The 27,642-nt window shown below is 50.3% G+C and overlaps 1 protein-coding gene across 16 annotated transcripts in view, besides 2 other annotated features; it reads left to right on the top strand.

Moving 5' to 3' along the window:
• Positions 1-27,642, top strand: part of CPNE5 (copine 5) — a 99,224-nt gene that overhangs the window by 15,762 nt on the left and 55,820 nt on the right. For 11 of the 16 annotated variants that reach the window (XR_007059285.1, NM_001376889.1, NM_020939.2 and 8 more), the window contains 5 exons: positions 1,139-1,179; positions 2,077-2,123; positions 24,167-24,270; positions 25,743-25,782; positions 25,996-26,072. Coding sequence is in view for 12 of the 16 variants with exons in the window: in NM_001376889.1 (NP_001363818.1) it covers positions 1,139-1,179; positions 2,077-2,123; positions 24,167-24,270; positions 25,743-25,782; positions 25,996-26,072 (309 nt within the window). In the remaining 4 variants the exon portion in view is untranslated. Of the gene's footprint in view, positions 1-776; positions 847-1,138; positions 1,180-2,076; positions 2,124-2,146; positions 2,503-24,166; positions 24,271-25,742; positions 25,783-25,995; positions 26,073-26,570; positions 26,853-27,642 lie in introns of those variants that run through there. The other 5 variants (NR_164866.1, XM_047419190.1, NM_001314017.1 and 2 more) reach the window with 5 other exon arrangements.
• Positions 13,045-13,213: a silencer, noted in NCBI's record as "fragment chr6:36778800-36778968 (GRCh37/hg19 assembly coordinates)". NCBI's record gives its function as "represses an EF-1alpha promoter that drives an FKBP-Casp9 reporter gene in an ReSE screen in K562 erythroleukemia cells {active_cell/tissue: K562}" and the evidence as "EXISTENCE:reporter gene assay evidence [ECO:0000049][PMID:32094911]".
• Positions 18,027-18,528: an enhancer, noted in NCBI's record as "H3K4me1 hESC enhancer chr6:36773485-36773986 (GRCh37/hg19 assembly coordinates)". NCBI's record gives its function as "activates a minimal SCP1, AML or CMV promoter by ChIP-STARR-seq in naive H9 embryonic stem cells {active_cell/tissue: H9 hESC(naive)}" and the evidence as "EXISTENCE:reporter gene assay evidence [ECO:0000049][PMID:30033119]".

The following is a 27,642-nucleotide window of genomic DNA, read 5'->3' as shown; positions in this document are numbered from 1 at the left end:
GGTTGAGTGCGGCCTTTTGGGAGCATAAACTTTCTGGCCCTTGCAGACAGCCTGCCCGAGAAAGCCCGCAGGAGAGAAACAGACACAAGAGGAAACCATGGATGTGTACAGGAACTGTGAGGGCTGAGGGGATCCATGCAGGGCATCAACAGCCTTCAAGACTGATACTACCGTCTCATTGTACTGATGAGGAAACAGGCTCAGAGAGGTTGAATGACTTCCCAGCCAGAGACTGCGTTTCCACTGGGCTGTCTTGCTTCCCAATGGCAGCAGGTCGCTGTGAAACGAGGGATACCAGATGTGCAGGATGTAGGCTGCCCATCCTCCCCTCCTCTCCCCTCCACTTCCACATCTGTAAGATGGGACAATACCTGCCTAGGATCAACCTTGTAGGGCAGCATGAGAATCGGGAGCTCATATTTGTAAAACAGCGCACTGCCTGACCCATCGCCGGGGCTCAGTAAATGGGAGCCTTTATTGCATGGAGGCAGGACAAGGGGAGCTTAGCACCTGTTGAAAGACCGTTCTGTCCCCAAATGTTGTGTCCATCATCTTGCTGCTGTGCCGTCCAGTCTGATTATCAGAGCCATGTGTTAGCCCTGGTCTTGACCACAGAAGGACCTTGTCCAAATGAGTCGGCTTCCCCTGGGAGGTGTAATTCATTAATCTATCAGTACAGATGAGACCATCGAATAAACTGGCTGTAAGTAGAGCCTTGAGAAAATGGGAGAGTAGGTGGATATGTTTTGATTGCTTTATCTTATTTTTTTGAGAAGCAGAGAAGTGATTAAAGGAGAGCTTCTAGAAAGGGCTAAGACATTGGGCAGTTTCGGAAATCCCCCGATGGTGAGTGGCTGTGCGACACAGGGCACCAAGACCAGGGCACCTACCCGGAGTGCTTGTGGTGATGATAGGGGTGGGAGGTAGGGAGTTCTGCACACCTTAGGCAGGTGGGCTGAGGAACCTCCAGGGCCTGCCCAGTGCCTGGCTTTTAATGAAGCCTAATAAACGATTGTGGAACTGTTTTGCCTGAGGCCAGGCCAGAGGCAGCCTCTGGGTCTCGGTAACAGCCTGAATCCCCTGAGGTCGCCTCCTCTCAGCTGGCCGTGCTAACCCCTCCTCTCTCCCCCTCTTTCAGGAACCTCCTGGACAAAGACATGTTTTCCAAGTCCGACCCACGTAAGTCCTGCTCTGACAATAAGAACGGTAACAATAGCGGCAACGCTATGACTAATTACAGCGGCAATGCTTGAGCCCTTACTGAGCACTAACCATGTGCCAGGCGCCGTTCAAAGTGTGTCAAGCCTGTTTAATGTTTCTCCCATAGTGTCTGAGAAAGATAATTGCGGAGATTTGACCCTTCCCAGCCTGCACGCTTGTGAAGCCTCAACACAACAGAGCAGGCTGGGAGGGGTTGGAGGTCTGGGGCTACAGGGTCCCAGAGAAACCAGTAGGCCTAAGAGCTCCAGCTGGCTGTGACCTGGTGGGATGAGCACTGGTTTTGGAGTCCAGGTTCTAGCCTTGAGCAGTGCCACCCAAGCGTGTGACCTGGATGGGTCTTTGGCCTCCTCTGAGCCTGTTTTCCCATCTGTAAAGTGGGGCTGATGATAATCAGAGGCCTCATGAAACTGCTCCGGGCTGTAAAGGAGCAATGCGGATTTCTGATGCTCTCCCCCACCACACCTCTGCTTGTCGTCCATCACACCCACCCGTCTACCTGCCTCACACTTCAGACCCTTGCTGTAGCCTAGAAGGCAATGGTGCCGACCCTTCTCCTAAAGGTTGCCCCTTCCAGGCACACCTAGTCTCCCTTCTCCAACGCAACCCCTCCGAATCGGTGCATCTACAACCCTGTCCAGGCTTGGGGGGCCAGATTCCTGTCCAGGCTTGGGGGGCCAGACTCACTCACCAAGATCTCAGCCACCCCAGGAGACACCCTCTACCCCTACCCAGATCCAACAGTGCTACCCAGGCTGGGTCTGCTGAGGCGCCTGCCCAGCCAGGATCCTTTTCATCTGGGACCCCTCCTTCCTCTTGGCCTGAGGTATTAATCCACTGTTTCTCCTCCCCCCGCAGTGTGCGTCATGTATACCCAAGGGATGGAGAACAAGCAGTGGCGGGAGGTAGGTGCAGCTCCTTCCCACACCAGAAACACCAGCCTGTTCCTGTCTGCCTGTCTGTCTCTAATTCGGGAGCAATTTCCCTGACATGTTTCTAACTGCAGCATCCAAGCCCCGCTGAAGGCTAGTAAGGTGTGCAAAGCATGAAGTCCCATCCCTGTTGTTGCATGAACAGACTGAAGATGGAGGGGATGGTTCCTGCCCTCAGGCAGCCCCAGTCTGAGAGGAGACATAGCCCTGTTCTCAGGGAGCCCCAGTCCCAGGGAGACGCAGAAGGAGTCCGTGCCCGTTAAGACCTTGTCTGCTGGCTGGAGGCGTGAGTGCAGCTTCTAGCACCAGGCCTCATCCACAGCAAGCTTCCTTCCCGTGGCTTCTGACTAAGGTGAGCGTGGCTTCAGTGAGGTGATTTCCCTGCTCAGAAAACTTTGTTGACTCCCTTCTGCATTGAATCAAGTCCCGGCTCCAAAACCCACCCTGGCTTCCAAAATCCACCCCAACCCAGGATGACGCCCTTTTCCAGCCTCATCTCATTTCCAGTCCCCTCCCCACCCCCACTCCATGTGCCTTTTGTCCCTTGTAACAGGGAGTAGGGAGAGAGGGCTGACTTGATGGGCCCACTCCAAGAATGGCAGGGACATTTGTGAAGTGAATGGGGTCTCCTAGACACCCTCACTCTATTCCTCACCCCGCGGCCAGAGGGATCTTGTTAAAACCCGGGTCAAATTCTGTCTCTTTTCTGCTCAGAGCCCTCCTGTGGCTCCCATCGTGCAAAAGCACCGTCCCTTCATGGCCTCCCAGTCCCCCCACCTTGTGACTTCCTTTCCCTGCTGACCTAATCTCCTGACGCTGGGCCCCTCCCCACTCCACTCCAGTCACACGGCCCGCCCCCGCCTCCAGGCCTTTTCACCTGCTCTTCCTTTTTCCTGGAATGCTCTTTTCCCACATGGCTTAGTGGCCCTTCCATGGAATGCTCTTTTCCCACATGGCTTAGTAGCCCTTCCATGCTTCCCTAAGGTTTTAACTCAGATGTCACCCTGTGGAGGCCTCCTCTGGCCACCCTATCTAACATTCCAACCTTCCAACACTTCTTATTCCCCTTAACTGGTTTTTATTTTCTCTGTATCACTTTTTCTCATCTCCCATACCCTGGTTTACTTTTTTTTTTTCCTTGAGACAGTGTCTTCCTCTGTTGCCTGGGCTGGAGTGCAGTGGTGTGATCATGACTCACTGCAGCTTCAAACTCCTGGGCTCAAACGATCCTCCGGCCTCAGCTTCGGGTATTTAGGACTGCAGGCACATGCCACCAAGCCTGGCTAATTAAAAACAATTTTTTTTTCTTTTGTAGATATGAGGTCTCAGCATGTGTCCAGGCTGGTCTGGAACTCCTGGACTCAAGCAATCCTCCTGCCTTTGCCTCCCGAACTGCTGGGATTACAGGCACATGCCACCCTGCCAGGCTACTTATTTACCTTGTTTGTCATGTGTCAGCTCCACAAGGGCAGAGATTTTCATCTGCTTTATTCACTACTACATTCTGAGCACCTAGAACAGTCCAGCACACAGTAGGTGCTTAATACATGGTTGCTTAAAAAATGAATGGATTAGGAATTAGCCAGGCGTGGTGGTGCGTGCCTGTAGTCCCAGCTATTTGGGAGGCTGAGGCAGGAGAATTGCTTGAATCCAGGAGGCAGAGGTTGCAGTGAGCCGAGATCGTACCACTGCACTCCAGCCTGGGCGACAGAGCGAGACTCCATCTCAAAAAAAAAAAAAAAAAAAAAAAAGAATGGATTAGGAAAGGAAGCTGGGCCTACAGAGGCTGCCAAGGCCATGGTGGCTGTTGCCACATTGCTACCTCTGCCTCCTCGCTCCCTCACTGAGCCCTCACAGGAGAATGTTTTCAGGTGGAAAGAGGAAAGCGGGGAAGGGGAACTGGGTCAGGATGAGGGGTCCGGTCCTGGGAGCCACTAGCTCCTGTTTGAACAACAAAAGGAGCGATCCCTCCTCTCTCTTGGAGAAGAGGGTCTGGCTGAGCAAGGACAAGGTTGAAGTCCAGGAGGTCAGGGGTCGAGGGAGGAATGTTGTTTTCTTCCATGGTGCGAGGTGGGATGTGCTTGCTGAGCGGCGGAGCTGAAGCTGGCTTGCAGGGGCCTTTATGGCTGCCTGAGCTGGCTGGAGATTGCGCTTGCTCCAGGTGATCAGAAGAGGCACCAGAATGGGGGGAGAGGGGATTTGCCTGAAGCTGTGGCCCTGTTGGCCTTGGCAGCCTCATCCCATGCCCATCTCCACTGACTCCTGGGAGGGAGGCTGGTGGACTCCTGACAGAGACTCCGCCTGGGGTCTCCACTAAGAGAGGGGTAGGAGGCAGCTATGAAGAACAGAAGGATGCAGGCTTGTCCCCAGGGTCCAAGGAAAGGGGAAGGGAGGGGGACAGTGCACAAAATGACCAATGACAAGAGCCTGAGGGTGAGGAGGCCTTCCCAGACTTAATAAAGACTTAATAAAGTCTGAAATCAAGTCTGAGTGACACTTCAGTAACCCAGGCTTTATTAATGAATTTCCCTTCTTCGTTGGTGGACTGGCCGGAACTGTCTCCCTCTGCCCCCAGTCCCCAGACTTGGTGGGACCAAGAGGTTGAAGGGGGTGAATTTTATTCATGAAACATGTGGGAAGTTCATCTGTAAAACAAATAAAAAAAAGAAAGAAAGGAAACATGTGGGGGCCAGACGCCGTGGCTCATGCCTGTAATCCCAGCACTGTGGGAGGCAGAGGCAGGCAGATCACTTGAGGTCACGAGTTCGAGACTAGCCTGGACAACATGGAGAAACCCCATCTCTACTAAAAACACAAAAATTAGCTGGGTGTGGCCCATGCCTGTAGTTCCAGCTACTTGGGAGGCTGAGGCAGGAGAATCGCTTGAACCCAGGAGGTGGAGGTTGCAGTGAGCTGAGATCGTGCCACTGCACTCCAGCCTGGTTGACAGAGCGAGACCCTGTCTCAGAAAAAACAAAAACAAAAACAAAAAAAATGTGAGAAATATTTCCACAGGGGCTGGGCTAAAGTTTACTATTCCACCCTGTCCAAGAGTCTATGCCAATTAAAGCATAAACCAGATTGCTAGGGAAACATTTAGCCTGCTTAAGTGAACTAATGACTTTTGAGGCCTTTTGGCTGTGCTTCATAAAAACCAGGAATGTGTTCATGTCCTCGTGATTCATGAAGGAAAGTGTGGAAGGGCTCTTCAGAAGGGCACTCTTTGGTGAGCCATTAATTACATTCTGTAATTGAGAGTTGTCTTCATTTGGTTGAGGGTTTCTGATTGTCCAAGTCACATCTTGTTACTACACCCGCCGCAGGGTGGAGTAGAGGGAAGACAGGTGGCCTTGGTGTGGAATACACCTGTGCTTGCTCCTGGCTCCAGCCCTTTCTGGAGGTGGGGCCTAGAGCAAGTTACTTAACCTCTCTGCACCTCAGTTTCCACATCTGGCGTCTGAGGGTAAATCCTACCTTATAGGCCTGCGGTGAGGGTGAAACGAGATGACGGAAGTAAAGTGCCTTGGTGCATGGTCAGTGCTTAGTAAATATTCATTATACAGCATCATCCAAAGTGTTTGGGGCCTTCCTGGTCACTCTTCCCATCTCAGTTAATATTTGCAACAGGAAGCATTTATGAAGTGCCAGGCGCTGGGGAAAATAGGGAGATGGGTCAAAAGAACAGAGCATCACCAAATGTGTGAATTGGAACTAGAGTTGCAGCCTGGGAGGGGAGATGCATGTGGATGAACAATCCTAACGGGAAACGACGAGAAGGGAAGTATGGATGGAAGAAAATGGGAGTTCAGGGGAGGGAAAGTCGCAGCCAGAAGGCCACATTCAACTAAGGCATTTTGACAGGTCATTTGGATTTTTTTAAATGGAATTTGAGCCCAAGCACAAGCCATTTGCCTGGGGTGCATGATGTGGAACAGAGGAGATATGGGTTGGAAGGAACTTTCAGGATCATCTGGCTCAACCTCCTCATCCTACAGACGGGGGCAGGACTGGCCTCAGTCTGTGGAGGAGCTGAGTTGAGCTGGGTTTCAGGTTTCAGTGACGTGCGAAGACATAACCCAGGGGCCCAGTAGCATCCTGCACTGTTGAGGGATGTAATAAAGGGGTGGATGGGGTTCAAGGAAATCAATGAAAGATGGTGAGTCTCAAGGGTAGCAATAGGAGGGAGCCATTACTACTCCAGGCCTTGGGAGGAAGGGGAGTCCTGGTTTCTAGAACCCCAAGGGACTTCCAAACAGGACCAGGAGCCCCACTGGAGGGACAGAGTCAACTCAGGCAACCTCAGTCTCTTCCCGTCCTCCTATCTCCTGCTGGTGCCTCCCATTGGTGGAACCTCAGTAGGAGACCTAGGGCCAACAGACCATTGGGGCAGTCAACTTGGGTCAGTCTTTCTTCCTGGGCACAGAGCAGTGTGGGGAAAGGCTGGGTGTAGAAGCAGAGGGGCCAACGGGGGCTGTCCAGCACAGACAGAGGAGCATGGCTGGTGTTCAGGATGTGAGGCTGGCAAGATACAGGAAGAGTCAATACAGGGAGTTCATGGATGTCAGGCTGAGGACAGCTGGAGTTGTAGAGTGAGAATGTCAGAGCAGAAGGGTCCGTAGAGATCAAGGAGGCTGACCTCATTTATGAGAGGTGAGCAGGACCCGTGCCCAGACTCCAGGAGTGAAGATGGCAGAGCTCAGCCACGTGGGCCACCCCTAGGGCACATGCTGTTTCACAGAGCTTTATTTATTCATTTATTTTTGCGTAGAGTTTCACCCTTTTTGCCCGGGCTGGAGTGCAATGGCATGATCTCAGCTCACTACAACCTCTGCCTCCCAGGTTCAAATGATATTCCTGTCTCAGCCTCCCGAGTAGCTGGGATTACAGGCATGCACCACCACGCCCAGCTAATTTTGTATTTTTAGTAGAGACAGGGTTTCACCATGTTGGCCAGGCTGGTCTTGAACTCCTGACTTCAGATGATCCATCCGCCTCAGCCTCCCAAAGTGCTGGGATTATAGGCGTGAGCCACTGCACCCGGCCTTCACACAGCTTTTTCTGGAGAAAGGAAGATGCATCTAAACATACTGGGGATAGCTTAGCCGACTTGGCAAGACCCGTCCCTACTGAAAATCTAAAAATTAGACAGGCATGGTGACCCACACCTGTGGTCCCAGATACTTGGGAGGCTGAGGCAGGAGAATCGCTTGAACCCAGGAGACAGAGGTTGCAGTGATCCTAGATTGTGCCACTGCTCTCCAGCCTGGGCAACAGAATGAGACCCTGTCTCGAAAGCAAACAAACAAACATACTGGGGACGGGAGAGGGGCTGTAATTCCTTGCTCGATTCTCTGTGCGACCCACAGAGGAAAGTATCAGGAATGGAGAATTAAAGAAAAATCCAGATTGTCTCTATGGAACCGCCTCTGGGATAGAAGACTGCCCTTGCAAGTAAACAGGAACCAGTTCCCACCACTCCTCCATCTAGTTCATTGCCCTTCAGGAACAAATCACCTCTCTGTTACCAGAATCTTGTCCGAGAAATAATAATCCTGTGGTCAGGGGAAGTCAAGTGCAGGCACAGCACTTTCTCTGTACGTGGGGTTTGCATGAGGCTGCAGATGAGCCAATCCTGGGAGGGATGAAATCTGCTCTCGTGGCCCCTGGCTGCCGGCTTTCAGCTGGTTTTAACCATTTGGGTCATTTTTATGCCTTCTGAGAAAGCTCCATCTTCCCAGCACCTAAATCTGTCACCACATTTCATGAAAATTGACTCAAGATGTAATTTTAGCCCAGAAAATCAAGCACTGTTTGCATCAAGTCCTGCCAGGGCCTTCTGCATGTCCAGTCAAATGCATTTGTCAGATGAGGCCTGAACTTGATGTCCAAAACCCTGGGTTTTCAGACCAGCTCTGATATTTACTGACTGTGTGACCTAGGTGAGTTATTTATCTTCTCAAGTCTCAGCTTACTAATCTATAAAATGGGGCTAAGAGACCTTCGTGGGTAGACTAACTAAGGCAGGATGGCCAGGTGGGAAGAGTCCCAGAAATGCTTCCACTGGGAAGAGGGACATGATAGGGAACCCCTCTAGGTTTCCCATTTGAAAAGTGGGTATGGAGATCCCTGCCCCTCCCTCACCAGGCAGCTGTCTTGGCTGAGGGCCTCTTGGAAAAGAAATGGGAATCACAGAATCTTAGGGTGTCCAGCAGATCGCCCCATACCACTGCAGTCATTGGCCCCAGCCACCACACCCACATGTCCCTGCCAAAGCACTCAGTCTCTTTTTTGAGGAGAATTAGCCTGTTAAACTTTTCACCAGCAGCTGAAATTGATGGTTCATCTCTAAATATTCTGAATGATCTTCCTCGGGGCAACTTGACATGTGTCTTCACATAACCTCTGTGAGCATGTGTTGGGCACTGTCTTAGTCTGTTCAGGTTGCTATAACAAAAATACCATAAACTGGGTAGCTTATAACCAACAGAAATTTATTTACACAGTTCTGGAGGCCAGGAAGTCCAATATCAAGGCACCAGCAAATTCAATGTCTGGTGAGGGCCAGTTCCATCTTGCTGTGTCCTCACATGGTGGGAGGGATGAACACACTCTAAGCCCATTCATGAGGGCTCTGCCCTCCTGACCTAATCACCTCCCCAAAGCCTCACCTCTGAATAGCATCACAATGAAATAAGAATTTCAACGTGAATTTCAGAGGGACACAAACATTCAGACTACAGCAGGCACCTACTATGTGCTGGGGGATGAATGCTGGGGGTGCAAAGGGGGACCAGACACTGCCTACAACCAGAGGAGCTCACTTTCAACCCAGGGAGATGACACCAATCACAGTAATGATAATGGCAAACACATGACAGCAATGTGCAGACACTGTTCTGTTCTTTTTTTTTGTTCTTTTTTTTTTTTTTGAGACAGAGTCTTGCTATGTCGCCCAGGCTGGAGTACAATGGCACGATCACTGCTCACTGCAAACTCCACCTCCCGGGTTCAAGTGATTCTCCTGCCTCAGCCTCCTGAGTAGCTGGGATTACAGGCGTGCACCACCACGCCCGACTAATTTTCTATTTTTAGTAGAGATGGGGTTGGTTTCAGGCTGGTCTTGAACTCCTGACCTCCAGTGATCCACCTGCCTTGGCCTCCCAAAGTGCTGGGAATACAGGCGTGAGCCACCGCACCTGGCCATAGACACTGTTCTAAGTACTTTACCTGCATTAACTCAATGAATCCTCACAACAATCCTATGAAGGAGGTATTATTATTATTATTGGCCCCATTTGACAGAGGAGGAAACTGAAGCTTTTCATATCACTGTTTTCTGTCCCTTTACCAACCTGAGCACCCTCCTGGACAGCATGTGTCCCCGCCATCCCCTTCTGCAGCCCAGAGCATCATGGGCTGGCTTCCTCCACACAGGGGCTTGCCTTAGATCATCACGCTCCTCCCTGCTGGCCTCTGCATTCTGTGTCTGCTTCTGAGGATTACACATCTAGCGACACTATCTAATATGCCACTGATCTTTTGGCAGGTGTTTTTGACTTAATTCGTACTGAGTTTGGGGACTTCTGTGTCTTTCTCCATGAGTTGCTGTCCAAATAGCTTTGCCAATTTCCCTACCTCAGAGTTGGCAATGAGTTTTTGAACCTAAATCTGTGATTTCACATTTATTGCCATCATGTGTCGTTTGTTGGATTCAGTCCGTTGTTACAGTTTATGGAGACCATGTTGAATTACGATCTTGCATTCAGCATCTTGGTTATGCCTCTTGGTCCTGGGTCAGCTGTAGTCCTCACCGACACAGGTGACAAGGAATTGAATGGGATGGAGTACTGCGTTCCTCCACTAGAGATCTTTTCCCAGATTGACTTCAGTTTTTTAATTGACCTTTGGGGTAGGCCGTTCAGCCACCTATGTGCTATATTTTCCCATCTGGTCCCTAAAGACATCATGAATAACAGTCAAATGCATTTGTCAGATGAGGCCTGAACTTGATGTCCAAAACTCTGGGTTTTCATACCAGCTCTGATATTTACTAACTGTATGACCTAGGTGAGTTATTTATCTTCTCAAGTCTCAGCTTACTAATCGATAAAAAGGGGCTAAGAGACCTTTGTGGGTAGACTAACTAAGGTAATGCTTATGAAAATGCCTGGAAATATTAACCGCAATCTACCATTGACCTGGGCACTCCATCACAGTGGGAGAGGCCGCCCTTGGAGATCCTGTGAACCAAGCCAAACTTGGTGGCACTGGAGCTGAGTCTTGAGTGGTGCCATGCATCATTCTGGGGGGCAGGGTGTTGCAGGTGGAGGGAACAGCAAGTGCAAAGGCCCTGAGGTGGGAACAAGCTTACTGTATTTCAAGGACAAAAAGAAGGCTGGTGTAGTTTGAGTGGTGTGAACAATTAAGAAAGTGGACAATACGGTCACAGAGGTCATCAGGTTCAGATCCTGTAGGGCTTCAGAGGCCATATAAAGAGTTCTGATACTGATCTAAGTGTGATGCTAAGCTACTTGAGGGTTTTATTTTGTTTTGTTTGAGATGGAGTCTTGCTCCATTGCCCAGGCTGGAGTGCAATGGCTCGATCTCAGCTCACTGAAACCTCTGCCTCCCGGGTTCAAGTGATTCTCCTGCCTCACCCTCCCAAGTAGCTGGGACTACAGGCATGCGCCACCATGCCTGGCTAATTTTTGTATTTTTAGTAGAGGCAGAGTTTCACCATGTTGAGCAGGCTGGTCTTGAACTCCTGACCTCAGGTGATCCTCCCTCCTAAACCTCCCAAAATGCTGGGATTACAGGCGTGGGCCACCACACCTGGCCTATTTAAGGGTTTTAAGCAGGGGAGTGATGCAACCTGGTTTATGTTTCAGAAAGACAGCCCTGGCCACTGTGTGCAGAGTGGACTGCAGGGGAAAGGGCAGAAGCAGGAAGATAATTTGCAGTCTTGTGGAGGTTTTGGAATAAGACTGTGGTGGGCATGAACACAGGGGATCCAGTTCGTTCAATGCCAAGAGTTTAAATCTGAAAAGAAATAACCCTCTGCCTGCCTGGCCTTGAGCCCAATTTAGGATCCCTGGTGACCTGGCCTTGGTCATTCCACATAGACCATTATCTAAAGATACAAAGGAATGAGTGGACCATCAGCATTGCTAAGGCACAAAGCGGAAGGCAGGCCTCTCTAAGAGGTGGACTCCAAGGCAAGCTTGGGGTAGGCTTTCTGGACTCTCTCCTTTTTGCAGAGAAGTCTGCCTCTGCAAAGAGAGGTCCCTCCTGAGCCTTAGGTCACTTGGAAAGCCTTTAGTGGCCTTTGCTCTTGTCATGCAGCTGAATTTTCAGGGCTCTGACTCCCCGTGATCAGGGTTAGGCAGTCCAGGACCAAAGCTTTACTTTAGGGACTAGATGGGTCTATGGCCACCTACTCACAGTCTTAGGGTCAGGGCTTTAAAACCTGCTTTGACACAGTGAGGTGCTGTCTGGGATGTCCCTTTGAATCCTGACTTTGCCACTTTCCTTAACCTCTCTCTGAGCCTTAGTTTTTTTCATCAATAAAATGGGTTCCCAATGCCTGCTTAGTGGACTGTGGTAGGGACCACATGGCAGAATCACTTAGCAGTGCCTGCCTGTGCTCAGGACCTGTAAATATTCTTTTTATTATTAAACAGTACCATCAGGCAAGCTGTAAAGAGGCTCTATCCCTTTCCTTCCCCTCCTTAAATAAGAGGGTGACTGATATGCCTTCTACCCTGTACAGTCTCCACATCAGCAGCACCCCATTATCTCCCTTGGCCCTCACCACACCCAGATGAGGAAGCAGAGCTCAGAGGGATCCTGGCTTTGCCCAGCAACACAGCTAGGAAGTGGCAGAGCTGGGATGTGAATGTGGTTTTCCGAGTCGGAGTCCCTGGTCTTCTCCTCTGCCCAGGCCACTGACTTTCAAAGTGGGCTTTTCTTGTTTGTTTGTTTTTGAGACGGAGTCTCACTCTGTCGCCCAGGCTGGAGTGTGGTGACACAATCTCGGCTCACTGCAACCTCCACCTCCTGGGTCCAAGCAATTCTCCTGCCTCAGCCTCCCGAGTAACTAGGATTACAGGCATATGCCACCACCCCCAGCTAATTTTTGTATTTTTCGTAGAGATGGGGTTTCACCATGTTGGCCAGGCTGGTCTCAAATTCCTGAGCTCAGGAGATCCGCCCACCTCGGCCTCCCAAAGTGCTGGGATTACAGTCATGAGCCACTGCGCCCAGCCCAAAGTGTGCTTTTCTATCCCCAGGATTTGAGGGTGGCAGCTCCAGGATCCACCGTGAATATGTGTGTAGCCCCTGCCTCCCTTTCCTCCTTCAAGCAGAGGTGTTCATTATTTCTGTGTAATACATTAGACATGAGCCTGAGATTTCATTTGAAGAAAGGAGTTGGCTTTTCTAATAAACCCTGAGTTCTAGGCCAGGTCCCCTGGTGGCTGATAGATCTATTTGCTTTTCAGTGTTAGTGTCCAGGTGCACTCTACAGTTGTGGCTGAGCTGTTGAAAGTGTGCACTCCAAAGTCAAGTTTAAAAATGGGCCCACCACCTGCCCAGGTGGGGGATCTTGGCCAAGCACTTAGGCTCACAAGCCTACTGTGAGGAGTAAATAAGCTAATTCGTGTAAAGTGCCTGGCCTGCAGAAAAAGCTCAATAATGGCTCTTCTTATAAGAAGCCCTAAGTAAGAAACCAATGCTTTATCTGGAGGAAGGAACCATTGACAGTATCATTTCAGACATCGTGATGCCATTTGGCAGGAGCTATCGATGTTTTGGAGTGAGCTGGGGGACAAGTCCCAGGGCCCCCTCCATGATGCTTGGCTTCCTTTAGGGTGGGGACTGCTCAGGCCCCCCACCCTCTACAGTCAGACCCGGGGCTAGAAGGCTGGGGGTGGGGACAAGGTGGTGGAGAGTGTTTTGTTGGCAGCTTGGCAGCCAGGCTCATTGGTAAAGGGTCGTTCCCCGTTCCCCGAGGAGCTGGGATGATTGAACAGATTATCTGAAACAATGGCTAATTAGGAACTAAGCTTTTTGGCAGGAAGTCTTTCATTCTAAGCTTGGTAAAGTTTCATACCCTGACCCTGGTCTCTGGGCGAGATAGGGAGGCTTCTCTGACCAGGCTTGAGAACAGGGAGGCCTTTAGAGCCTGGGCTTCCCTAACTCAGGGCCCCTGTCTCCACCTCTGCCCTGCCTTACCTGGAAGCCTTAACAAAACAGGCAGCCATTTGGGAGGTCACCAGGCCTACGAAACGAAAGGTGCCAAGGTCATGGCTCACTCCCTGTAATTTTAGGCAAGCCCCATCTCTCTCTGGGCCTGGTTTTCCTCACTGCAACGAGGAGGGGTGGCCACAGAATTCTGGACTCCTTCAGTGACAGAACCAGAGAGAACTTTCCAGACCCAAGATGGTGCAGGCCTGGCATGGCCAGATCCTCCGTGCTCCTCCGCCTCCCCAGGCCCTCCTTTCCTGTCCCCAGATCTCAGGCCACTCTTCCCAGCCACTGGGCGCCCCCACCTGGCTCCTATTCCCAGGGCCAGCCTTGGAAAGCACATTCCCTTTTTCCGTTTCTATTTGAGTCAGGTAGCTTTCTGGCCTCTAATTTTAATCCTAGTGAACATGATTCATGAGGGGCCAGGGCTGGGCTCTGCAGCGAGGCTTTTAGAATCCCCAATTAAGGAGCCATCAATAATATATGAAAAGTATTGAGGGATCTACGGCTGGGGAAGGGTGAGCAGCTTGTGAGGTAGACAGCAGTCTGTCAGCTCCAGCCTCCTATCCCACCGGCACAGCCCCTGGGGGCTTTGCAGCTGGGGGATGGCTCCGAAGCTCAATCCAGCTGTAATTTGTAAAAAGGCAAGAGCTGCCTAAATCCAGGGCCATGAAGATTGTTCAGGCTTGCAGAGAGCCACCCACGCATGCCTGAGGTAGGGGCTGTGGTGAGCACCAGGGATGCTCTGCCTTTCTCACTCCTGAGAGTCCCGGCCCTTCCTCGCCCACCATGGGTTGCCTCTGGGAGGGCTTCTCTGGCCTCCAAGAGCTCCGTTCTTTCATCGGTAAAGTGGAGATGATAATAATTTCATTGTCACGGGGTCATTGGAGGGGGTTAAATGAGATCGTGGATGTATGGAAGTGTTTCAAAGTTGAGAAGTCAGGATACCAAGCAGAAGGAGGAGGAGGAGGATCGGGTGGAAGGGAGAAACCTGAGCAGGGATGTCCACAGGCTTCTGGGTGAACCAGGGCTCCACTCAGCGCTGGGAGCCCCACTGGCTGGGGTACCCGTCAGCATCCATTTCCTAATGAGCTGTGTGACCGTGGTCAGAACAGCCCCCCTCCCACCTTCTCTGCCTTTGTTTTCTCATGTGTTAATTGAGAGGATTTGGTTTCTTCCAGCTCTAAAATCAGGTCCTAAGTCAATTTGATTTTTTTTTTGGTTGTTGTTTTGGCTTTTTGTTGTTGTTGTTTGTTTTTTTGTTTTTGAGACAGCGTCGTGCTCTGTCGCCCAGGCTGGAGTGCAGTGGCACAATCACGGCTCACTGCAGCCTCAATCTCCTGGGCTCAATTGACCCTTCTGCCTCAGCCTCCCAAGTAGCTGGGACTACAGACGTGTGCTTCCATGCCTGGCTAATTTTCTTATTTTTTGTGGAGATGGGATCTCACTATGTTGCCCAGGTTGGTCTCGAACTCCTAGGTTCAAGCGATCCTCCTGCCTCCCAAAGTGCTGCCCAACTTGTTAACATTTTTAAAAGGAAATCACAGGAGGGTTGAGGACTCTTTCTCTCCTCCTCCTCTCTCTCTCTCAATCTCTCTCTCTCTCTGTCTCTCCCTTCCTCTCTCTCTCTCCTCTCTCTCTCTCTGCGTAGGGGCTGCAAGGGGAGGGATAGAGGTTGGGCAGGGTGTTAGGTCAGGGACACTCACATTATGACCTGATCTGTGGGTCCACCCAGACCCACAGGGAGTGTTAACAAGGGAGCAGGCACAGTAATCCCAGAAGTTCAGAGACTGCGCTAGGGAGTAGAGAAACTACAGGGCTGAAAACTGTCAGACCTAGTCCCAGCCTCCATTCACAGCATAAGCCTCTTACTGAATAGTGACTATATCAACTCCTTATTGATTTGGAGCCAGCCAGCCTGGGTTTGAATCCCGTTCCTATCGCCTGCTAGCTGTGTGACCTTGGGCAAGTCTCTCAATCTCTCTGAGCCTTATCTTAATTTACTTATCTGTAAAGTGGGGATAATAGTTCTGCTTCGGAAGGTTGTTATGAAGCTTAAATGAATGACCTTATGGATAACACTTAGTGCGTGGCACGCAGTAGGGCTCTGTGAGGGTTACTATCAGTATTGGAGACCAGCTCTGCAACAGACACTCCCTGCATGTCCCTTCTGTCCTCCATCTGGAGGAAGGAATGATTTACTCTGTTTAAGCAACAGGGAGGTACACCCTCTCAGGGGGTGTCTCAGGCAGATCGTAAGCAACACAAGGCAGGCCTGGGAGGGTCCTGGGCCCTCCCTGGCCCTGGGCCCCAATGTTCTGCAGCCATGGGCATTTGTGGGGAGTTGACTCACGTGCCGGGAGATGTCCTTGTGCTGTCTGTTGCTGCCTCCCAGCTGGTGGGTGATGAGGAGGAAGAAGGGGCCCAGATTTTAGAAATCTGGAAGCAGGTTGAGCACAGTGGCTCATGCCTGTAATCCCAGCACTTTGTGAGGCCGACGGTTGGGGGTGGATTACCTGAGGTCAGGAGTTCGAGACCAGCCTGGTCAACATGGCCAAACCCCGCCTCTACTAAAAATACAAAACTTAGCCAGGCGTGGTGGCAGGCACGTGTAATCCCAGCTACTGGGGAGGCTGAGGCGGGAGAATCACTTGAACACAGGAGGCAGAGGTTGCAGTGAGCCAAGATCGCGCCACTGCACTCCAGCCTGGGCAACAAGAGCAAAACTCCTCTCAAAAAAAAAAGAAAAAAGAAAAGAAATCTGGAAGCAACAGAGAGGGCACCTCTTCCTGGGCTGCCTTTCTCTCCACATCCTAGTCCATGATCAGAGGCTGAGCGGGCGACCTCTCTCCTTTACTTTCACTACGTGGCTTCCATGCCCAAGGGCTCCTCCTGCCTTTTGTTTCCTTCCCTGCTGGTGGCCACAGTGAGTTTCTTCTCTAGGCCCCAGGTCTCTAAGAAAACCTTAGGTTTTCTGCGGCCTTTTTTCAACTGAGGCCTGGGGTACTAAGGACCCTGGTGTTGTGGGTAGCCCGTAGGGAGAGTAGGGCCTGGATCCTGATGGAGAAGTCGGTTTGTTCGAGCAAAGGGCCAGCCCTGCATTTGCCTCCAGTCTCACCCCGCATACAGAAGATATCTAGAGAGCAACCACTGAGAGCTAGGGCTTTCGGGAGACCCCTTTAGATGGAGGACGAAAACCCTCTCAGGTGTGGAAGATGAGCAGAAAGGAGTGGGAGCTGAAGAGGAAATGTTAGTGGTAGGACTGGGAGCATCTTAGAGATAAAGCTGAGTTTAAAGGCTTGGGAGATGAACACAGTTCCTGGATGGCTGAACCAGAGTTAGGGATGTAGAAAGAACCAGAGTGTGGGATCACTTACGTACAGAGCACGTTTTATGTCCCAGGCTCTCTTCTAAGTATATTATGTAAATCAAATCATTTAGGCCTCCAACAATCCCATAACATGTAGATAAATTGCCATTCCCATTTTACAGAGGAGGAAACTGAGGCACAGAGAGGTAAAGGCATTTGCCCAAGGTCACATAACCAGGGAGTAGCAGAGCCAAAATTTGAACCCAGAGGCCTGGCCGTAGACTCTGCACTATTAACGACTTCACTTTACTGCTTTATGTGGGAAACCTTGAGACCTGTCTTCAAAGCTAGGGCCAGTGATTCTTAAAGCTTTTTGAAGACGTGCTTCCCTCTGAGAAACTGATATAAACCTTGGCTGTTCTCCCCAGAAAATGCAGGCATGTGTAGACAGACATTTGCATTCAATTTCAGGATGTCACAAACCCACATAAAGCCCAGGTTAGGAGCCTCAAACCCTGACTCTTATTTAGGAATTTTCCATCCCCCAGTCCTCACTCTGGCACCTATGTGGATGGGGCCAGGATGGCCACTTTCTACAATGTGGAGGAGGCTGGTGTTGGGGGGCCATGGCCCCTGAGAGCCCCCAATGAAGCCCTTAAGTGGGACAGCAGTGCTGAGATCCCACGTCCCAAAGGGCTGGCACAGGACATTGGTATCTTTGCTGCATGATCGGGAGTCATGCACTTTCTTGGTGACATGAATGTTATACACTGGAGTCTGAGCAGAATAGGGTGGAGGCAGGGGCTGTCTTGGTTTACGTTCAATTGAGTTGGAAATTGTATGTGTGTAAACATGTTTGTGAGAGATAAATTTTATCAGTGAGGGTCCCAGCAGGAAAGAGAAACTCAGAGGGTTTAACTGGAGAGATTTTAATGAAGAGATTTCTCTCAAAGGTATGGATGAGCTTGGGGAAATCCACAAGGGATAGAGCATCACCTGGGGGCTTGCAACAGCAGGGAGCTGTGACCACCCAGGCTTGCCGTGGCGATGGGAGAAGGCACTGCTGCTCTCTGAGTGGGAGGTGGAGGGCCTGCCTGGTGGGGTCTGTGGTCCTGGAGGGAAGCAGCCTCTCCCAGAACCATGGAGCTGAGGCTGGGCAGGAGTGGGAAGAAATACCCCAACCTCTGTCTCTTCCTGTCTCCCATCTACCAGTGTCTCCCACTGGCCAAACCCCACTGGAAGCCACAGGGTGAGGGAATGATAGTGATGCTATTCAAAGGGAAGCAATCTCCTGTAGGATGAAGACTGGAGCTGGGGCGGGCAGCAGGCAGCAGCCCGAGACTCTCCAGCCTCCGTATCAGCCCAGGCCCAACCGCCAGCCCCAAGAGCCCCCTACAGGCTGGGCACCCGTGTCTTGACAGAGGCTGTCCCCTCCTGGCCCAATAGTTGGATGTGGGGCAGGAAGACCTTGCTTGCCCAACCTGGGTTCTCAACCTCAGCCCTGCTCTGGGCTTCCCTCTGAGGGCAGTTTGGCGACACTGCTGTCTACCTGCCCCATACATCCCAGCTGTCACGTGTAGCAGAGTCCCAGAGAGTCGCCTAATTTAGTCCCCAAAGAAGTTTCAAGTCTGCCCCCACTTTGAGGGTCTCACTGGAACTGATGGTATGTAATTAACACTGCTTAATTGATATTCATGCAGCTTAGTCATAGAGGTTTTAGGAGCCCTTGGGACCATCTTTTGGGGCATGTCAGAAGCTCTTTCCACTGAGTTTTGTTGCCAGGGAGAGAGTCTTTCAGAAGGCAAATTCCCTCATTTCCAGGCTTCCTTCTCATTTGTACTTTTTCTTTCCTTCTGCCCAGTAGGAGACCGTCCCAGCCCTGGGGCCCAGGGAGGTCCCCTGTCACCTCCCCTGTCACTCAGCCTCCTGCCCAGTTTTCATCCCTCAGCCTCCCCAGTGCACACTTGCGCACCTTCCCTAACAATTCTCTAGGGCTCTCTGCATCACATCCTGCATGCAGATTGCTTGGGCATCCTTCAGCCTTTGTTTATCAGAATTCCTGTGCTTACCAGTGTTTGGTGGTCTGTGAGCAACGTGAGGATCCCCCACTCCCAGTATCCTCAGAGCCCAAAGTGTGGACAGAGGAGCTCAGAAAGGCTTGGAAGCAGGGACAGGCATGCCCAGGGAGCTGGCAGAATGAACAGGGCTGGCTGCGCTCTGTATTACGGGTGGTGAGGGGTTAACCCCCCTGCTCCTTCCCTAAGCAGGATTTGCTGCACAGCAGTTAGATTGCATGCCATCCTGTGGTTCCCAGTGCTCGGGTGCTAATATCTCATCTCTCCAAGTCCCTTCTGGCTTGAAAACTCTATAAGTCTATGTAGAATGAAATACAGCAGCCAAATTGATTTTTTTTTCAACGTCTCTTCAGTTGTGTTCCTGCCATCATTAATGGGGTATAAATTGGGCCTGACAGGACCTGGTGGCTTCTCAGATTTTAAAATCCAAGTTTTAGCATTTTTCCCCTTTGTTATTCGTCCAAGTAATGAAGGCTATAAAACATCTTCAGTAAGTCCCCAGATTGTGGATTTTGCGGTTGTTTGTGATCTGCACGTCTTAACTACCTCTGAGTCTTAGTAATCTGTCACTGTCCAGCCTAGCTCATGTGCCCCCTTTCCTGCTCTAGGAGTTATTGGGGGTGGGCTTGGAGTTCCCCTCCGTGTCCTGTTTCCAGGGGAACTCCATTGTCTTCTTAGGCAGAATCAATCTCTAGGGTATTCCCCTCTATTGAAGCTGCAAGTGCCATTTTAAAAGCAGCCTTGTCATCTTCCTTAATGGGTGTTTTCCTTGGAGCCTATGCTGGGGGTGGGGTGGGGTGGGGAGGGAAACTGCATATAGGATGTCTGCTCCTTCTGGGCTGGGCCTTATCTAAAATCCTGCTAGAGGGATGCTGTGAGGTTGTTGAAGGAGGAGGGCAAGTGTAGTGAGAGAAAGGAAGTAAGTCCCTTCCTTAAAGGAGAATTTTCTCAAACCTGGGTGTTTACCTGGAATATTTTGCAAGAAAGCCATTAAGAGACATGTTCCTTTTGTCTGAAGGCAGGAGGTATTCATCAAGAATAAGAGCAGGAGAGGAGAATGCAGGAACTCTTTTGGAACAGGGGTTATGCATTGTAAGATTGTTATTGAATTTAGGGAGTGGGAAAGGAACCCAGTCTTATTCAATCTGATGTCCTTTCCATTGCTTGACACATACTGGGACTTGTACAAATGCTTGTGAAGTAAACCTCATCTTTATTTGATTTTCATAATGCTTGATGACTCCTCACAGTTAGATGCAGTAAAAATATAATGGGCTTTGGAGTTAGATATACCTGGGTTTAGGTCCCAGCTCTGCCTTGCTGTGTGATCTTGGGCAAGTTACTTAACCTCTCTGATTTTTAGTTTCCTCATTTGTACAATGGGTAATACCTCACAGGATTTTTGTGAGAATTGAATGAAATAACTTAATGATGCACTTAAGCTATTGAGCATTCAGTAGGGGCTCAGTAAATGTTAGTTTACTTCCTTCCTCCTGCTGTATTCTCATTCATTAGTGGTTCTCAACTCCACCTGCACATTACGATCACCTAGGGAACTTTAAAAAAGCACAGTTGTTCAGGCCCCACCCACTGAGATTTGTATTTAATTGGTCTGTGTTGGGGCTGAGCATGGGTATTTTTAAAAAACACCTGTTAAAGCATATATTTTTTAAAAAGGTAAAATCATGACTGCCATACAAGTTTAAAATTAGCGTGACAAATATTTATTATCAAAGCCTGTTAATTAATGAGGAAACCAGTAAGATGTTGCAACCAGTTCAAATAATTCAAACAACACACACATATAGGTGATCAGGAATGTTGAAATGAATTTACACATAGATGCAAAATCGGTCAATATCCATACGGCACAAAATGTTTAAAACCGCTCCTGGTGCATTGCATGTGTTCAATAAACAGTAGCTATTATGATCTAAACCCGCGGCTGTGTATTAAATGCTGTGTTAGGTCCTGGGCTACAAAGATGAGGAGAACTTGGATTCTCCTCCTGCTTGAGAAGCTCACAATCTAGAGGGGTAGAAATAGACTCAGTAGATCATTATCAGGCCGCAGAGTAAGTGCAGCCTTAGAGATGCAGGAGGATGATGGGCGCACACAGGAGGGGTGGGGAGTTGGAGAACAGGATGGCCAGGGAGCGGAGGCTCCAAGCATTAGGAATTGGCACATACTGGGGGCCCCTTAGGAGGTTGCCGTGGTAGTCGAGGTGACAAGGTGAGAAAGTGATGAGGCCAGACCAAGGCCACAGCAAAGGAAGAGATTTAGCCGATGAGATTGACTGGAACATGAGATTGACTCACCAAGGGAGTGAGGGACAAAAGATGCCAAATCTAGTGTTCCTCAGATGACCCCATGTTACCTGGAGTGGGAGCTTCCCTCTCCAGTGAGACAGAGTCTTTCTCTGTCGCTCAGGCTGGGGTACAGTGATGTCATCTTAGTTCACTGCGACCTCCACCTGGGTTTAAGTGATTCTCCTGCCTCAGCCTCCCAAATATCTGGGACTATAGGCGTGCGCCATCAAGCCTGGCTCAATTTTATTTTATTTTTTTTTAAATAGAGATGGGGTTTCACCATGTTGGCCAGGGTGGTCTCAAACTCCTCACCTCAAGTGATCCGCCCGCCTCAGCCTCCCAAAGTGCTGGGATTACAGGTGTTAGCCACCGCACCCAACCCCTTTGGAAGTTTCTAACTTAATTCAGGGTAGAAGGGACACTCAGGGTAAGCCCCAGGTAACCCAGGGCCTCATCTACCACATGTGTGAGGGGCCCATGTGCTGGTGTTTTCCTGGACTGCAGAGCCCCATCAAGGAAGACTGACACTCTGACACTCAAGATTATTAAGAAGGATTAATGCCCATTTAAAATATTTTGCTTTGCACCTGCCTGTCTTACTACTTTGAGACTCTGGTAAATATTGTAACGAACAGCACCCCTGCCTTCATGGAGCATACAGTGTGGTGGATTTTTTGTTTGTTTTTGTTTTTAGAGACAGAGTCTCTCTCTATTGCCCAAGCTGGAGTGCAGTGGTGTGATCATAGCTCACTGCAGTATCACCCTCCTGGGCTCAACCATCCCCCAACCTTAGCCTCCTGAGTAGCTGGGACCCCAAGTGCATGGTACTATGCCTAGCTAATGTTTTTTGTTTTATAATTGTGGGGAAAAAAAGCATATAGCATAAAATTTTCCATCATAACCTTTTTTTTTTTTTTTTTTTTTTTTTTTTGAGATGGAGTCTCACTCTGTTGCCAGGCTGGAGTACATTGGCGCAATCCTGGCTCACTGCAACCTCCGCCTCCTGGGTTCAAGCGATTCTCCTGCTTCAGCCTCCTGAGTAGCTGGGTCTACAGGCGTGTGCCAACATGCCCAGCTAATTTTTGTATTTTTAGTAGAGACAGGGTTTCACCATGTTGGCCAGGATGGTCTCGATCTCTTGACCTCGTGATCCGCCCACCTCGGCCTCCCAAAGTGCTGGGATTACAGGCGTCAGCCACCGCGCCCAGCCGCATCATAACCATTTTTAAGTGTACAGTTCAGTAGAGTTACAAATGTATTTGCATTGTTGTGAAACAGGTCTCTAGAACATTTCATCTTGCAAAACTGAAACCCTATACCCATAAACAACTCCCCCTATACCCCTCCACCCTGCCCCTGGTCACTGCCATTCTACTTTCTGCATCGATGAATTTGGCCACTTTAGATACCTCCTGTAAGTGGACACATACATTATTTGTCCTACTGTGACTGGCTTATTTCACTTAGCATAATCTCAAGGTGCACCCATGTTGTAGCACATGACAGGATTTCCTTTCTTTTTAAAGGCTGAATGATAGTCTATTGTAAATGCAGTGGGTTTAAACTTCACCTCTTAGCCCCTCACCCCTTTTTTGAAACAAAAATTTTGCTCAAAATGTCTACTGTATTGAGCAGATATAAAAGAGAGCCGCTTTGATGGGATGGTTGGCCTAGAATCGTGCCCATTCTGCCCTCCTCTATGGCCTATGGAGCCTCCAGGGGACTTGGATCCCAGTGGAACACCACCTAGCCCAGTGGTTCTCAAAGTGGAGTCCCCAGACCCACAGCATCAGCATCACCTGAGGACTTTTAAAATGCAGATTCCCAGGCTCCACTAGACCTACTGAGTCAGAGCCTCTGGAGTGAGGCCCTCCACAATCTGTATTTTACCAAGTGATTCTGATGCCCAAAGATGGGGAGTGATTTGGCCTAAAGTCATTTGCAAAATTGAATGGGATTCAATTATTGACTGCCTATTATGTATAAAATTCTAGAATATCAGCTGCAAGGGCAACCAAGACAATTCAGTCTCTGAATTAGTTAGCTATTGCTGAGTAATAAATTATCCCAGAATTTAGTGGTTTAAACAGCAGGCAGGAATCTGAGTGCAGCTTTGCTGGGTCCTCCGGCTCAGGGTCTCTCACAAGGTCACAGTGAAGGTGTTGGCTGGGGCCTCAATCATCTCAAGGTTCAACTGGGCAAGATTTGCTTGCAAGCTCACCCAGTGGTTGTTGGCAGGATTCCAATTCTTACGGATGGGCAGATTGACAGCCACTGTTCCTCACTGGTATTAGCCTGGGGCCTCATCCTTTCCTTGCCGCCCCTTCATAAGGCAGCTCACAACATGGCAGCTGGTTTTATCAAGTGAGCAAGCAAGACAGAGCAAGAGAGGGTGCCCAGACGGAAGTCATAGTTGTTTACAACATAACCTTGGAAGTGACATTCTATGACTTGTGAGATACTCTGTTCAGTACAAGTGTGTCACTAGGTCCAGCCCACGTTCGAGAGGAGCTGATTATGCAAGGGCATGAATACCAAAAGGTGGGGATCTTTTAGGAGGTGGTCTCCTACAGTCCCTGCCTATGCCCTTGTGTTTGCAATTGGGAATCAAATAAGTACACACCTAATTGTGGAATCAATTCTCAGAATGGTGGTCATGGAGTGGGCGCAAGTTCGGTGGAGGCTCAGAGAAATAAAATTCTCTGATTGGAGGAATCAGGAAGGCTTCCTGGAGGAGGTGGCATTTACATCAGGCCTTGAAGGAATGAGGATATGCCACTGGCAGAGACAGGGAGGCCAGGTGAAGGGAAGGGCCTGCTCAGGTATTAAGACCATCAGCTTGCATGGAGATGGGAAGAAGCAGTACGGGTTGGAGCCATACTGTACATGGCTTCCACTGTCAGATGGAAGAACTCGTGCTTTGATTGGGAGGGGATGGATGTCAGGAGCCTGGAGAGACAGGGCTTTCATAACTGCCAGAACCAGGACTAAGGGGCTCTGAGCCCAGTGCTCTCCCCTGCCCCACCAGCCGGCCCCACCAGCCCGGCCCTGAGGTTCACCCTCCATCTTCTCTTGCAGTTTGGGCGCACCGAAGTCATCGACAACACGCTCAATCCTGACTTCGTGCGCAAGTTCATTGTGGATTACTTTTTCGAGGAGAAGCAGAACCTCCGTTTTGATCTGTAAGTGGAAGATGGTGCTGAAGATGCAGCCAGGTGGGGAGGAAGATTGCTGGCAGGTAGGACCACAGACCTGTGGTTGAGGAAGGAGCTGAGAAATTAGTGGGAGCCCAGGGTTGGCCTGGGATAGAAGTGACAATTAGCTGAAGTCGCCTGCACCCTTACCAGGAGAGATGGAAAGGGGGAAGAAGAGAGAGAACAATGGCATTCACCCCAGTTCGTCTCAGTTAAGTTGGGGATGGCATCAGGCAAGCTGCTTGGTGCTGGGGAATGTCTGCTGAGGAAAGATCCTGAAGGCAACTCTTGGCTGTGCCTCTGGGAGCCCTTTTCTCCCCTGGCAACCAGGAGGTACCCACTGGCTGCTTCCTCCATCTAAGCGTGTTCTGGGAGAGGGTCCCTGCAGCCTCCCCGCCTGCAGAGGTGGCCTGGCTGATGGGGCTCAGGCATCCAGCATCCGTCGGAACATGAGAGTGCCTTTCTCCTGACATTAAAGATCAGGGTGGAATTTCAGGCTTGGTAAACAGGCTGGGGAGTTTGTGATGTTGTTTTTATGGGGTATGGGATGGTTTGAAAAGTCTTTGCCCCACAGAAGAGTGGTCAGGGTGGGAAAGAAGGGGGTTTGGGATCTTAGGGAGAAAAGGAAAGAATGCAGTGGAAGGAAATGACTTTGGAGGGAGAGATGGGAGGTATTGAAGCTGAGGAGAGTCAACACAGCCTATTGTAGAGAAGTCACCTGGTGACATTTTGGAGAAGGTTGATAAGAGAGTGACCATCCCTCAGCAGGAGTCATCTGGGCCTGGCATGGCTGTTTGGCTGCAGAGATGCCAGTGGGTGGGTGGGAGATGCTGGGGGAAGGTTGCAGGTGAGGCTCCAGGTGATCAGGCCCCCGGTGAGCAGGCCCCAGGTGAGGGGAGGAGGCCAGCTGTAGCATCACGCTGCCTGCAGCCAGCTGAGGTGAAGGTGTCAATGCCTCCCTCCTTCTTGAGTGACCAGGCCTGTGGGCAAGCTGGGCAGGCCTGGGTAGGGTGAAGCTATAAGGGAAGGTCAGAAGCAAGGTATTAGCACCACGGGCAGCCAAGGCTAGGCTGCAAAGAGCAAAGATGGAGAACTCTGTAAGTGAAGGGAGTGAAAGGTAAGATGGCTTAGCCACCTGTGAACAGAGCTCATTGATTTAGTTTTTTCCATTTTTAATGAGGTATAACATATATACAGTGAAGCGCATAAATCTTTGTGCCTACTCCACGATGCATTTTTACATCCGTTTCCACCCCTCTGATGTCACCCAGCTCAAGGACAGAACATGTCCAGCACCCAGAAGGCTCCCTGTCATGTCTTCCAACCATTACTCCTAGAAATATTCACTGTGTTGGGACCTGTTTTTTGGGGGACAGGGGCCCTGACTCAACTTGAGAACCCAGGCAGGATTGGGCAGAACGTCCGCAGCTGCCTTCATCGTTTCTCTGTGTTCCCTGCAGATACGACGTTGACTCTAAGAGTCCTGATTTATCCAAACACGTGAGTTCTGCCAGTAACTGCTCAGCAATTCCATAGTTTCTGAAATGCCATCCTCTGGGTGAGCCTGGGGCTTTGCTGTGATGGAATGTGTGTCCGACGCTGCGTCCTGTCATTTAAGGGCCCTCACGCTTCCAGGAATTGGGCGATGGGGGAGGTGGGATAGCTGTGAGCAGAGTGGGTGACACTGGTCTCTTCTGTTCCCTGGATATGCAGGATTTCCTGGGCCAGGCCTTCTGCACCCTTGGAGAGATTGTGGGGTCCCCTGGGAGCCGCCTGGAAAAGCCCCTCACGTGAGTGTCTGGGTTGCTTTCCCAGTGGTAGGCCAACTTCCCGCCCATTCTGCTGGGGGCTGGCTCAGGATGGGGACAAAGCAGTCAGCTGGCTATGACTGGCATCTGCAGGGTTATTAGGAATAAAGAGACCCCATGCCTCACTGCTCTCACAGGGCTTCTAATCCAGGTATTTCAGGGGAACCCAGGATGGGTTATTAGAGTCCCATCTCCTGGGAAGGCCCAGGAGGAAATAGACTAGACACCATATAGTCTATTCCCACCCTGACCCCTATCATAGTGTGGAAGAAGAAACTGAAGCCCAGAGAGGGGAAGTGACTTGCCCAAGGACACACAGCTAGGAAGAGGGAGAGCTGGGAGCTGGGATTTGAACCCAGGGCTCTACTCACATAGCATATTCCTAAGATTGTTCACAGCTTGTAGGCCAGAGCTGGGTACAGTGAGGCTCCTCCCGTCCCATCCTGTCCCTGATGGTCCCTGACCTTAATTTGCTTTTAGGGAAAAGCTGTTACTCTGAAGCGGGCTCTGGGATGAGGAATCCAAGGCTTCTCACAGTGGAGCCTGATGATGTCTTCAGGGACCAGCCAGGGCTGGCCGTGTGGTGAGGGTGACCTCTCTTGTCCCTATTTCTCAGGAAGTACCAGGGGCAGGGCCCTTGCCTGTATAAACGATTCTTACCTTTCCCCACACTGGGGAACACTGGTCACCATTCTTTGGTGTCCATATTTCTCTGGACGGCCACCCTCACACTTTGCATTTAAATAAACTAATTTAACTGGATCCCGAGGCTTTTGATTATTTTAGGTTGACACTCGTGGGCAGGGCCCAGGAAAGAGAGGGCAGACTGGGACAGGCATCCAGGCCACAGGGCAAAGCGGCCGGGAAAGGGAGATCATCAGATCTTCTGCCAAGTTCCCACTGGACGCTGTCCCCTCACCATGATCAATAACTGCAGTGTGAACCGGGCACGGTGGCTCACGCCTGTAATCTCAGCACTTTGGGAGGCCAAGGCGATGGATCGCCTGAGCTCAGGAGTTCGAGACCAGCTTGGCCAACATGGTGCAACCCTGTCTCTACTAAAAATACAAAAAAATTAGCTGGGTGTGGTGGTGCACACCTGTAGTCCCAGCTACTCTGGAGGCTGAGGCACGAGAATCACTTGAACCCAGGAGGTTGCAGTGAGCCGAGATTGGGCTACTGTACTCCAACCTGGGCAACAGAGTGAGACTCTGTCTCAAAATAATAATAATAATAATAACTGCAATGTGTGTGTGTGTGGTCTCTCTTCCAGATCCTTGCCCGTGACCCCCAGTAACTCATGATAACTTCAGGGCCCCCGGAAATGTTTCCTTGGCCCCCAAAAGGTCTCATCTCTGGGTTCCTAGAAAACAGTGAAAATAGCTATCATTTATTGAGAATGGGGGAAAACCCCTGTTTTGGGGGTCTCTATAGCTTATAGAATTTGAGGGCCTCTTGCAAAAAAGCATACAAAATTCACATTCATATTTGCTAGGCCCCTCCCTCTTAGGACTTATTTCTAACAGTTTTCATTCGTAATTTTATATTCTTT

The sequence above is a fragment of the Homo sapiens genome, chromosome 6 (genome assembly GCF_000001405.40).
Source record: "Homo sapiens chromosome 6, GRCh38.p14 Primary Assembly".
Classification (NCBI taxonomy): Eukaryota; Metazoa; Chordata; class Mammalia; order Primates; family Hominidae; genus Homo; species Homo sapiens.
Note: the sequence above shows the minus strand (reverse complement) of the source record. Positions and strands in the feature narration are given on the sequence as shown.